The sequence below is a fragment of the Homo sapiens genome, chromosome 5 (genome assembly GCF_000001405.40).
Source record: "Homo sapiens chromosome 5, GRCh38.p14 Primary Assembly".
NCBI lineage: Eukaryota > Metazoa > Chordata > Mammalia > Primates > Hominidae > Homo > Homo sapiens.
The window spans coordinates 160,601,553-160,615,199 of NC_000005.10; the positions used below are offsets into that span (position 1 = coordinate 160,601,553).

Here is a 13,647-nt window from a genome sequence, read left to right on the forward strand (position 1 = left end):
CCTCAGTTGGTATGTGTTTGCTTTAGGCCCTCATCAACAAGACAAACCAACATAGTTTTAGAATACACAACTTATTGTTTGTATTTTTATAGGGCTATATGTTTTTCAGAGCTCTGACACTAAGGCCTCTTGACACAGAATTATAGTTTCCCCATATTATTGATGAAAAGATTAATTAATCTCTGTGAGCTTCAGTTTCTTCAAGGTCATACAGCATGCTGGAGTCAGGTAAGACTACCCAGACAAACTCTGCACCTCAAACATCTTTGCCAAGTAGATATTTTATTTAGTATCCTGCCCTCCAGCAAATCCCTGAAAGAAAGCCCAGGGGCACTGAAGTGATATGCAAGTCCCAAGTTGAAGCCATGGGCTCCAGGCTTATATTCTGTGACGTACTTTTCACCCTCACTCTCCCAAGGCATGGGGTATAGCTCTTGCACTGAGCTGGCTCTATATACAGAGGAAATCTGATACAGTTCAGACTAGCTCTTCAAATCCTTCTTTGTTACAATAAGAAAATCTCATTTATGAGACTTAACTCCAAGAGTAATGACAGCAACAATAATAAAAAAAAGGCTAACTTTATAAACGATTACGATACGCTAATCACTTTATATACAAATTCTCATTTAGTCCTCATAGCAAATATGAGAAAGGTACTATTACCACCCATTTTACAGATGGTAAAACTGAGATTTGGGGACATTATCACATATGGGAATCTGGATTTAAACCCAACGTGTCTGACTCCAGAGTCTACACTTGCAGCTATTCATGCTGCCCTCTGTGTGCCAGGTGCTTTTCATACAGCATTGCCAATTCTCACAATAACTTCACAAAAATAGAAAGTGAAGAGTCTAGCTCAAGGTCACAGAGCTATTAAGGAACAGTTTCAAGATCTAACACTATGCCAGCCTGACTCCTTCCTTTATGCTGAGGTGCTTTGCCCACTGCTAGGGAGAGATCTGGCCCCGTGGCAAGGCCTGCCAAAGCCCTGGGTGAGAGGACGCCATAGGCTACTTACCACGTTCTTGTAGAGGTAGTACACCACCATCCTGGCCAGGCGCGAGTAACACCAGTGGCCATGCACGAGCAGCAACTTCTTGAGATGCTTAAAGCGGGTGATGGCAAAGTCGCTGGACATGACAGCCTGAGAGGTGAGAACAGACACATCAGCTTCCATCCATGGCTGCCAGTGCCCCAGAGGGACTCTCTCAAGGGCGTTGCTTTGGTCTAGGCCTACGGCCAGCAGAGTCCTAAAGACCCCTTGTTGTGGTCACTCTTGGGTAGCTTTTTGGATTCTGACACCCCACCCTCCCTTCTGGGAAATCCAAACCTCTCTAGAATCCAAGGAGGGCAGATCAGAAGGGATCAGTGGTCTAGGCTGGCTCTTCATCCGTTTATCCAGCAAGCATTGACTGTGGCCCAGTAAGTGTCAGGCACCGTGCTAGGGATGTGATGGTTAACCAGAGAGAAGGGGCTTCCATTCAAGCAATTTACAATCCTCTGAACACCTTTCACCACCCCCTGAGTCAGGCCATTGGCTCCATTCACAGATGGAGCTAAGTGACAGCTCTTCCTTTACCTGGAGCTGAAATATGTCTTCTGCCCCTGGGATTACTCAGAACAAGGCACAGTTTATAGTACTCTTTTAAAAACATGAACACTGAACATGCCTGTTTATAAGTCCTGGTATAAACTTTGGTCTAATTCCCTGTGCCTCAGTTTCCCCATCTAAAAAATGGAATAGCAATCCCTTACAGGGTGTGATGATTATTAAAATTCAATGAGATCCTAAATGTGAAGTGTCTAACACAAGCTTGTCCAACCTGCAGGTCGCATGTGGCCCAGGATGGCTTTGAATGTGGCCCAAAATTATGAGACTTTTTTTGCAATTTTTTTAAAGCTCATCAGCTATAGTTAGTGTGTTCTATGTGTAGCCCAATACAATTCTTCTTCCATTGTGGCCCAGGGAAGCCAGAAGATTGGATACCCCTGGTCTAACAGATTGCTGGCATATAGGAGATACGCAAAAGTTAACATTTCAGAACTATTCTGCAGCTTCCCAGTCAATGCTCTCTATCCTCATCAACAAATTTAAGCAGTGCCAAATGTTTACACTGGTGGTGGAAATACAATTGTTAATGGCTCAAAACCCACAAAATGTCTGTTTAAATGGGAAAATTTAGCAGTCAAGTTAGTTTGCTTCTTCCAAGCTGAATTTTGACACTACGAAAGTGTACATTTGCAAAATGATTTCAAATGTCCTTATGTCTGTCATTGCTTATGGAGGGCATTGCAACTTTGGATGTGGGTGGAAGTTCTCAGGGAGAAGTTTCTCCAACACTCTGGATATTTCCTTGTATCTCAACTAAGGACCAAAGAAAGAAGAATAGTTGCAGAGAACAATACCTGCATGCCTTCCTGTCCAGATATTCCAATTCCAATATCAGCAGCTTGAATCATGCTTACATCATTTGCTCCATCACCTGAAAGAGAGGTCATAACGTGTCTTTATTTTTGGTCCAACTGCTCAGTGACAATGAGGTAGCTCTAAAGTGTCCCCAGTTACATACAATTGAATCCTTTTAACATTACTCTAGTGCTATAGAAAGTCATTGCTATAGTGCTTAGCTTGAGAGATGTCATTTCTTCTTTGGAAAATAAGTCCTACCATTTTCTTTACCATTCAGCAAATATAGGACTTACCAAGTGTCTTTTTTTCTAGGCACAGTGTTAGGTATTGGGGATATAATGGTAATCAAGAGACTTGGGCAGTTTTCAAAAAAATGCCTTCACAAATGTTACAATGAACTTTACTGATGAGCAAATGGAGAATTTGAGCAACTTAGAGACTTGGCAAGGGTAATTCCACTAGAGAAAGGACCCAGGAGAAATGGAACTCATATCTTTCAGATTCCAGGGCCAACACACTTCCCTCGGTCAAACTTGAAATACCATATCAAGACAACTGGACAGTTTGGAGAGTGAAATCATCAGAAATTGTCAATGGTTTCCAAGGAGAGGGATGATATTGTTTTGTTTCTCAGTGTAGAGAAATGAGATTGATTCATGTTTTTGAAATATATTTAGTCACACTGAGTTTCCATTCAATGAACTGAGTTGTTTCAGGAAACTGGAGGTAAGGCATAGACACACACACACACATAAACACACACACACGGTCTCCTTCTATACCAAGACTGTTCAAGATCTTTCCATGATGAGGGAAACGTTCTATATCTGCACTGTCCAATATAGAAACCAGGAGCCACATGTGTCTATGGAAATTTTGCTGGTGAAATTCGATTTAAATTTAAGTAGCCACAGATAGCTCTATACAGTGAGGCCTTCCCCAGAAGCCAAACTCTCCCCAGTGCTTTTTCTGTAAAGGGTCAGGTGGTAAATATTTTAGGCTTTGTGAGCCAAGAAGCAAAATTGAACAGTTATTCTTGCTGAAAGACTATTAATCCTTTATAAATTTTACATTGAAAAATAGAAAAATAATTCTTAGTATCCATACAAAAACATGCCATGGGTTGGATTCAGCCTGCAGGCCATAGTTTGCCAACCCTTGTTCTTGTAGACTATGCTGCCTTCATTCTTTTCCTGGCCCTACATGTTTTCTAGCAGTTTCTCAGAATAAGCCACAATTAAATTTATATTATTATGATATAGAATATAAAATGGGAGGGAGAGAATGATTCTTCTAGTTATCTGATGACACATTTATTGGTCTTAAAAGTTTTGCCATAAGTAGCCTTTATTCTAAAATATTTCTTGATTGCATAGCAATGCATAATTTTCATCTTCCCCATGCAAAACAAATCCAACCTTTAATCTCTTCTGTTAGTGAGCCAGGAGAAGTAGAGGTGTGAAACCATGCTATTTCTCGCCACACTGGTTTTGTTTCTGTTGCTATGGGAGTGAAGCCAATATCTGACCTCAGAGAAAATCATTCTTGGGCTATTGCCTTGTGTGTGTCTGAATTTCTGAAGAGGACAATTCCAGGCATAAAAGTAGGATGTCGTTGCTAAATTTGTTCTCTGCTTTCTTTCTGCCCCACTCTTGTTATTCTCTACTGTTCTTACCTGAAAACCAGGAACAAAACCATCACGTTTAATAGGGTTTCTATTTGAAATGTTAGGAAAGAAAATCTTATCCCATGCCTGTGTAGGAGGAGGAGAGGCTGGCACCATCTGTAAGAACATCCCTAAGAGAAGGCAATATTTACTACATGCTTGGTATGTGCTGGGCAGGGGATCCAAAAGTGAATAAGGCTGACATCTTTCTACTCGAGGAACTCATGGTCTACTGAGGAGGCCATCACAGAAGGTATGACAGTGCTTTGAGCTATGCGTACTGGGTGCTGTGGGAGCCCCCAGGGGAAAGCAAAGTTAGGTAGGATTGGAAGAAGTGTTTTACAGAGGAAATAACTTGTGCAAAGGCCCAGAAGTGAGAGAGGACAAGGCCCATGGAGAATGGTAAACAGTTTCATTTGTTGGAACATGGAAAGGCAACTGTTGGAGAAAGAAAGGTGGCCACAATAAGAGATATGGCTGAGGGTAACAGAAGATCACGAAGATTCTTTTAAACCAGGTTTGGTTGTTCCTGAAAGGTGTTAAGTAAGTGCAGTTTTCATTTCTCTGTCCCAACATGATTAAAGTTTAGCCCCCTCTGAAAAATTCTTTATCAACCAATGCTAGCATCTATTGGTGATATGCTTTGTGCTGGCCTCCTATTTAGAAATAAACACACAAATTAAACATGAGACAGTACCAATCTTTAAAATCTCCCCACCAGCCATCAACACTCAGAATATCAAATCCCTAAACACCTGAAGTTGTGGCATGCATAAAGTACTAAAGGGAAAATGATCTGTATCCCAGAATTAAGATGATCTGAATATAATTACTGGCAACATTTCTTGAGCTATCTGGATTCACTGAATTCAAGGCCCCTGTTGGTTTTGACCTCCATCTAAACCCTGATTTATCTTTAGCTGACTTGCTAGTCCCAAGAACTTTGATGCACTGTCCCACTTCATCCCCTAGTTGCTGCATCTTGATTGTCATTTTGAACTCTCTCCCTCTAAGACAATGACTCACAGCCTAAGCATTCTGACTTTGAGACCTGACCTCCCACCTCTGGTCCAGCCTTTCATCAGATCATCCCTGCCAAAGTGCCACCCGCATCTCAGTATGATGGGTACCTATGGAAAGGGTCATGACGCGCAACTTGTCTCGCACCAGCTTGACTATCATACTCTTCTGGAGTGGCGTGGAGCGGCAGCACAGGACGGACCGACAATACTGGGTCAATTCCAGAAACTTCTTCTCTAGCTTTCCCTGGAAGATGGCATTCAATGTCTTCCCATCGATGACCAATCCAGCTTCTGGAACCACAGCTTCTGAGGTGATGGATGGTGTCTTGGAAGGTAAGCGGAATCCAAAGAGCTTGCGGTCTGGCTTCTGTAGTTCACGAAATTGCTTTAGCTCTTCCAATGCACAATTGAGGATGGATTCACAGGTCTCCTATAAAGAAGCATAATAATACAGTATTTGTAAGCAACCTTGGAAATGCATGTTAACAATTTCAGTTTATTCTTTAGTAAGATAGTCATAAAACTCTACTACCATAGAGATTATTTACAAGCTATTCTCCAATTTTTATATTTCTCTGCAATATTTGACATAATATCAAAGGAATATTAATTTGGAACCAAATTAACAGCCAAAATAGAAGACACTGCTTGTGAATGGGAGTGAAAGTAGCTCAGCAAGATGGAGATAGACACAAGGATGGCATAAGATAATAAATAATACTAATATAATGGTAGATAATGACAATACGTCATGCTGGTATGGTGCTTTCTATTTCTCACAGGTCATTTAAGTTCCCCTTTGTTCCTCAGAACATTCCTGCGTGGTAGATAGGGTGTGTATTCCTGATCTTAGAGATGAGGAGACTGAAATGAGATCTTTAATAACTCACCCAAGATCATCCAAACTTAGTAGTGGAGTCAGGATCATTACTACTTGAACTGTGGCTTCCTAACTGAAAAAAATACATTGTACCTGTGTTTATCAATTGTTGTATTCCATGAAGGGTGCTAAGAACTGTGGCATGAAGCATTGATCACATTGGTTTGAACGGACTACGGTTATAAAAGTCTTATTGATGGAAATAAACTTATTAATTTTTTTCTGGTGTTTGCCTTGAAATATAGTGAGAAAGTATTTCCTTTTTCAATTTTTTCTTCCATTACTTTTGATTATATCAAAAGTAGTCATATTTTGATTCAAATTTATTCTTGATATCAACTTCTCTGAACATCACTTTTTAATAAAATCATGGCAGAAAACAGCATTATCAATTCATTTATTTTTATTATACTTTAAGTTCTAGGGTACATGTGCACAACGTGCAGGTTTGTTACATATGTATACGTGTGCCATGTTGGTTGGCTACACCCATTAACTCGTCATTTACATTAGGTATTTCTCCTAATGCTATCCCTCCTCCATCCCCCCACCCCACGACAGGCCCCGGTGTCTGATGTTCCCCCACCCTGTGTCCAAGTGTTTTCATTGTTCACTTCCCACCTATGAGTGAGAACATGTGATGTTTGGTTTTCTGTCCTTGTGATAGTTTGCTGAGAATGATGGTTTCCAGCTTCATCCATGTCGCTACAAAGGATGTGAACTCATCTGTTTTTATGGCTGCATAGTATTCCATGGTGTATATGTGCCACATTTTCTTAATCCAGTCTATCATTGATGGACATTTGGGTTGGTTCCAGGTCTCTGCTATTGTGAATAGTGCCGCAATAAACATATATATGCATATGTCTTTATAGTCGCATGATTTATAATCCTTTGGGTATATACCCAGTAATGGGATGTCTGGGTCAAATGGTATTTCTAGTTCTAGATCCTTGAGGAATCGCCGCACTGTCTTCCACAATGGTTGAACTAGTTTACACGCCCACCGATAGTGTAAAAGCATTCCAAATTCTCCACATCCTCTCTAGCACCTGTTGTTTCCTGACTTTTTAATGATCTCCATTCTAGCTGGTTTAAGATGGTATCTCATTGTGGTTTTGATTTATATTTCTCTGATGGCCAGTGATGATGAGCATTTTTTCATGTGTTTGTTGGCTGCATAAATGTCTTCTTGTGAGAAGTGTCTGTTCATATCCTTTGCCCACTTTTTGATGGGGTTGTTTGATTTTTTTCCTGTAAATTTCTTTAAGTTCTTTGTAGATTCTGGATATTAGCCCTTTGTCAGATGGGTAGATTGCAAAAATTTTCTCCCATTCTGTAGGTTGCCTGTTCACTCTGATGGTAGTTTCTTTTGCTGTTCAGGAGCTCTTTAATTTAATTAGATCCTATTTGTTAATTTTGGCTTTTGTTGCCATTGCCTTTGGTGTTTTAGTCATGAAGTCTTTGCCCATGCCTTTGTCCTGAATAGCATTGTCTAGGTTTTCTTCTAGGGTTTTTATGGTTTTAGGTCTAACATTTAAGTCTTTAATCCATCTTGAATTAATATTATCAATTTTAGTAGCATTGTTTTCTTCACATAGGTCTTCATTTTACAGTGTTTCTTCATCCATGGCAAGGGAGGATGATTTTACATTTATTGAAGTGCTAAAAGTTTCTTCTAAAAATAATATTCAAAGTGAGTCAAATTATTAAGTAAAAAAAAGTACAAGTCATATACAGATTTTGGAAAAAACTGTGAAAGCAGTTCTGAAGGGCCAGGGTTGGGGAACATTGATCTAGAGATTTAGAGATTTCTGTGTGGGGGAATATGTCTGCCATAACTTATTTTTTTTTTTTTTTGAGGCAGAGTCTCACTCTGTCACCCAGGCTGGAGTGCAGTGGCATAATCTCAGCTCACTGCAACCTCTGCCTCCTGGGTTCAAGTGATTTTCATGCCTCAGCCTCCCAAGTAACTGGGATTACCAGCATGCGCCACCACACCTGGCTAATTTTTATATTTTTAGTAAAGACAGGGTTTCACCATTTTGGCCAGGCTGGTCTTGAACTCCTGACCTCAAGTGATCCACGTGCCTTGGCCTCCAAAGTGCTGGGATTACAGGCGTGAGTCACTGCACCCTGCCCTGGCATAACTTATTTTGGAAAGAATAAAGACATAGTTTATTATTCCTGTGTCTACCTTTTAAGATGCTAAATTGAGTGTTGCAGGCACTAGAATATGCATAGAGCCCAGACGGGCCACAGGAAGCAGTTCTAGGAGTGTATGCTTATACCAGAGGCACTTATCTGGAAAGAGATCAAAGTAGTCCTTTGGAAGCTGGGACTGGCACCAATTATATAAATTCCTCCAATATATGACTAAAGCAAGTCATTGGAGACATAAGCTTTAAAATTAAATCATCTCTTAATTTACTTATTTCCAGCTTTTAAAGTATACAATAATTACCATTCACTGAACATTTAGTATACCTCCTATACTGTGGTAGGAACCTCTAATATGGTGGTTCCCAGTGATCTCCACTTCCTGGTATTCATGCCCTTGTGTAATCTCCTTTTATTGACTGTGGTCTAGACCTAGAGACTCCTTTCTAATGAAGGGAATTCTGCAAAAAATGATGGGATGTCACCTCCCATATTAGGTTATAAAAAGACAGTGGCTTCCAATTTGGTGCTCTTTCTCACTTTCTCTTGGATGATTAGCCCTGAGGAAAACCAGCTGCCATGTTGTATAGCAGTCCTGTGGAGAGGCCCACAGAGTGAGAAACTGAGGCCTGCTAACAGTCATGTAGGTGAATTTGGAAGCAGAACTCCTTCCCATGCCAAAACCACCCACCTGTTGAGCCGTCAGATGAGCCCACAGCCCTGACCAACAGCTTGAGTGCAACCTCAAGGGAGACCTTGAGCTAGGGGTGCCCAGCTAAGATGCTCCTGAACTTGTAATCCACAGAAACCATAAGATAATAAATGTCTGTTGTTTCAGCTCCTAAGGTTTGGAGTAATTTGTTATGTACCAATAGATAATTAGCATAGGTAATGTACTAAAAGTAAGTAGTTTTCTTCTATGATCTTATTTAATCCTACCAGTAATCTGTGAAGTTAATATTTTTTATCTGTTTTACAGATGAAGAGAAGTTCAAGAAGAATGGTGTTTGAGCCATATTAAAACTTCAATATAGGTTGTTAATTATTAACAATATTGCAATAGCAATAATAGTGGTTTTAGTATTAGTTCCTATCTAATACTTTAGTTCCTTTTAAAATTCCTTGACTGATGAACACTTCAGTGATTAGTTAGTAATTCTCTCATCTTCCGGATGAGAATTCTGAGGTCTAGGTCGATCCCATAACTTGATTATTGCTTTAATACACCTAGCAAAGAGATAATAATCCTAAATCAATTTATAGTGAATTAGGCAAATTAAAAACCTTGGAGGAAATATCCACGGAATATGTAACTACATTAAACTAGGGTTTAAATAAGTCTAAGACTTAGAATGTATTTCCCCAGTTTCTGGCTTAACATATTATTTTTCATCCCAGGTAAAGAGATGAAAAGACTAATCTTACAGGTTTAGTGAGCCCAAGGGTGTAGGCATGGCTGAGGATTCAGGCACTGTCCTGGAAGATACTGGACAGAAAGATTCGTCATTGACTGAATTAAAGGTGGAGTATGGCTGACTGTTCCTTAGGAGCTTTGGCTGTTTAACCAATGAGCAGGAGTGCATGGCATTTAGCAGAACACATGGAAGCCCACTCGATCTCCCTCTGGCTGGCTGCCTCACTGGTTTGCAGATGTTCTCCTTCTAGAATTACCTGGAGTGAAAGAATCATTGCAAACCGAATTTCCATTACAAGCAGGACAGGCAGGCACAGGGATCAAGCATTCAAGCAAGCTGAAAATTACTTTCCTTCCTAAGCATAATATTAAAGCCCAAGTTTTCCCTGAGCTTATTTTCATTTTGAAAATTCATTAAGGTTTAATCTAATAATCTGTGCACCTGACAGGAAAGTAAATGATTTTTCCAATTCATCTAAAGGTCCTCTGGCATTTTTCATAATCTACACTAGTTTTATTTTTAAAAAAGAGGTGTATATTGTTGCTTCATGGAATAAAAATGAAATATAAACCTCCCCAACATTCTACTGTAGTCTACATCAGCCTCAGACAAAATTTAGTCCGGTGTCCTCTCTCCCTCCTTTCCTTTTTCCGTCTTCTTTCGTTTTCTCCATGGTATGTCCTCGGTGTAGGTGCCCTACGGGCCCTACGCCCACACCCCTGCAGTAGAGTGCTCTTCTGGTTAATATCCTCCATGGAATCCAACCCCTGCTTCCTTCTGATAGGAGCACACAATCTCAGTGCCCACTTCCCATCTTCATCAGCCAAGAAGATGTGGTGGAACTTTACCTTCTGCAATTTGAATTGTGAAAACAGATACTTCCCCCTAAAATCAAAACGGTGTTATAGCTTTGAATATGCCTCTTCAGCTTTCCCAGTCTTCTCTCCAAACCTCACTCCCTGCCACCCGTAATCTATTCCAGTTGAAAAGTGCCATTTTTAGATCTTTGCTTCATTCTTTCTCTTTCTCATCCCATAAAAACATATTGGCTTCATGCATTATTCCTTTCAGGTTTTTACTCTGTGGCAGACCAGCTTGACATATAAATTGATGCTGAAAATTTAAGCTCTGAATAATTTCAATTTAATTGGGACTTTTTCAATGGATAAGTTAGTCTTAAATAGTAAGAAACCGACAGTTGAGTTTCCATAAGCAAACAGTGTGGTAGAATGTAAATAGCACTAGCTCAGTTCTAGACTTAGTTCTACCTATCAGAAATAAGCAGGGTAAACCTGAGCAAGAGACTTAGCCCCAGTAGTCTTCAGTTTCCTTATCTGTGGGGAAATGGGGAGACTAGACCAATAGTAGAATTTGGGAGAGGTAAAACTTTCTAACAAGCAGTGCCAGAAGTAATGTAAAAGAGACCAGCTAGCCATGTGTGGGGATGAGATAAAGGATATTGGGCTGGATGACTTCCAGGGTCCTCTAGACTCCAAGATTCAGTGATCTGTTGGGGGTTGGGTGCTTCCCTGGTGTACCCAAATCCCACCTAGAAGCCTGTGTCCTCTTGGTTGAGGGGTTGCTCTACACGTTGATATCTGCAGATATCAATACAGAGAATCACCTCACCTGATTCTCTGTATTGATGGTATAAACAGTGTCGGTCTGATTTAACAGTCTGCAGGAATGGGCAATGTTGACCGCTGTCTCCTGCTTATCTCCAGTCAGGACCCAGAGCTGGATCCCAGCCTCCCGCAGAGTGGCAATCGTATCTGGAACTCCTTCCTGCAGCCGGTCTTCGATCCCAGTGGCTCCTGGAGTGATGAAAAACAACAGAGTTCACATTTATCGTAAAAGAGTAGTTGCTTAATTCCCCCAAAGCCATGTGAAGCCAGGCAATGTTTATTGGATAGCATCACTGTGCTAGGCTGTGTACCCAGGATATAACAGTGAACTAGATGGAGCAGGTCTCTACCTCTGAGTTCAATGGTCATTGAATAAGAATTTATAACTGAGCTATATAATGAAAGAAAGTCAGGATACCATGCGAATATACACCAGGAGACCTGAACTTCACCTGGAAAATCAGGGTGGGCTTATGCTGAGGAAGTGCTACTTAAACTGAGACCTGGGAGATAATGCAAAGAGGTGGCAGAGGAGGAAAATTCCAGGTAGAGGGATCAGTGTGTGTGAAGTCCCAGAGACTACAGTAGAGGAAGATGCAGAAATGGAGGCAGAGCAAGGTGAGAGATGAGGCCAGAAAAGGAGCTTAGGGGTGCTGGACTGGGCAGAGCCTTGTCAGGGCCTCAAAGGATTTGCAATTTATTTGGTGGTAGTGAAAGTTATTCAAGGGTGTTGTGCTGGGGAGTGATAGAATCAGTTTTGACTTTTAAGAATATCATTCTAGAGAATAGGTTTGAGATTGGAAAAGCAGGATGAGATTCAGAACTAAAAGCTACTTAGGAGGCCAGGCAGGACTGCAGAGGAGAGGCAGCAGTAGCCTGGACTGGCCTAGCAGCAATAGGAATAGAAGTGGAAAGACTGAAATCTTTGCCCTGCAACTGATCAAAGCAGAATTAATAGGGACTCATATTTTTGATAATATTCTTGGAGTGAATTAAACATGCAGATTCCATAATTTTTGAAGGATCTCAAGCTTTGCACCAGCCCTGATGAATAGATATCCAAATATTGAATAGTTGCTAAGTGATTAAGCAAAAATAAATCTGCTTTTCAATTGAGATTCATTTCAGATCACAGACTAATGGCTACCCATTTCACTCTGGGCAGGAGCACGGCATTTTGTTTCTTTTAATAATCCAGAGTGACAATAGGTTGGCAAAGTGGTTACGTTGGATGCATATTGAAAAGATTATTTCATATTTTGAGACAGCATGAAGGCATTACAGCTTTTTAGTGGTGTGCCAATTTCTCGGTGGAAAGTGGAATTCTCTTCTCAGCCCAGTCCTCTCCAAGCCATCTTGAGGGGAGACAAAGAACCCCATTATCCTGAAATGTGCCTGTTTTGCATCTGAGGGCCATATGCACAGGTAAACAACCCCATAAAAAGTGATGGCTTGAGCCTCATCTTCCCCTATAAGCGTTAGTCTGGAAGGTGAGAAGAAGCTCACTTATTACGGTGAGGCAGAGTGAAGGAGAGAGGAGGAAAAACACATTTATTTGTGTGAAAGAGAAAATGAAACAGGAAGGTTGTGAAAGCCTTTCCCAGCTAGGGGAAGCCAACAGGTTCTGATAAGTGTGTTCTCTTCACCCAGAAGAACCGGAGGAACACCTCTCACAGACTGAGCCTAGAGTGCTGTCATGAAACAAAAGAAACCTCTGGGAAGGGAGAAAGGGATCAGGAGCCTGAATGGGATGACTTTCTGGTGGCATCATCTGGCAGATAGAGTTGTCTGGCCCAGCCATCCTCTGGTTCCTGTTCAAGTGAGTTCTTGTGTTCAGCTTTAAAGGGGACCTTATGAGGTAGCAAGCAGAGGCCTCTGCAGCCGAGACATAGGAAACCAAAGGCTGAAGGATGTGGGGAGCTAATGCATGCCCCAACCCCATTCTCCCTCCTCAGCTTGTCAGCCATCCCACTTGCCAGCATCACCACTTTACAGTGACCTTGGGTCTTTCCCCTTGGAACTCCTATTTGGCTGGGCAGCTGGAGGCATGTGACTCATCCAGAGAAGCCAAGTCTCAGAGGAGTGTGTCTCTGTCCAGAACTTGGTCCTCATCCCCAGGTCAACACTGTCCACCAAGAATAAAGAAGGCTTTTTGCCACGTGGCCAGTGCATGCTGTTTGGGCATTGTTTACCCAGATTTTGCTCCCAAGGTGTGAGGACATTAATCCTGTTGAATAAAGCTCCCCTTGCTTCTTGGCAATGCCTTTCCTCCAACAGAAGCACAGCCTGTCTCTTAATCAGTCTCTGTGCTTCTCTTCTCTCTCTCAGCATAGCAATCTAACTTCCATGCTGCAGCAAGCAGCAGTTTTTGTAAAGCACAGATCTGTCCCTGCTTTCACCCTCTGCCCTCTCCAAACCTTTAGCAGCTGATTGACATGACCCTTCATAATCTGGGTCCTGCTG

General features: G+C 41.3%; 1 protein-coding gene across 11 annotated transcripts in view, besides 1 other annotated feature; it reads right to left on the reverse strand.

Moving 5' to 3' along the window:
• The window catches only part of ATP10B (ATPase phospholipid transporting 10B (putative)), a 366,241-nt gene that overhangs the window by 38,433 nt on the left and 314,161 nt on the right, over positions 1-13,647 (reverse strand). For all 11 annotated transcript variants that reach the window (XM_017009252.2, XM_047416995.1, XM_011534468.3 and 8 more), the window contains 4 exons: positions 11,189-11,373; positions 5,213-5,534; positions 2,413-2,489; positions 1,025-1,150 (listed from right to left, as the gene is read on the reverse strand). In XM_017009252.2, the coding sequence (XP_016864741.1) occupies positions 1,025-1,150; positions 2,413-2,489; positions 5,213-5,534; positions 11,189-11,373 (710 nt within the window). The remainder of the gene's footprint in view (positions 1-1,024; positions 1,151-2,412; positions 2,490-5,212; positions 5,535-11,188; positions 11,374-13,647) is intronic.
• Positions 4,488-5,687: an enhancer, noted in NCBI's record as "CDK7 strongly-dependent group 2 enhancer chr5:160033047-160034246 (GRCh37/hg19 assembly coordinates)". NCBI's record gives its function as "activates an origin of replication core promoter dependent on BRD2, BRD4, P300/CBP, MED14 and CDK7 cofactors, with strong dependence on CDK7, by STARR-seq in HCT116 cells {active_cell/tissue: HCT116}" and the evidence as "EXISTENCE:reporter gene assay evidence [ECO:0000049][PMID:35650434]".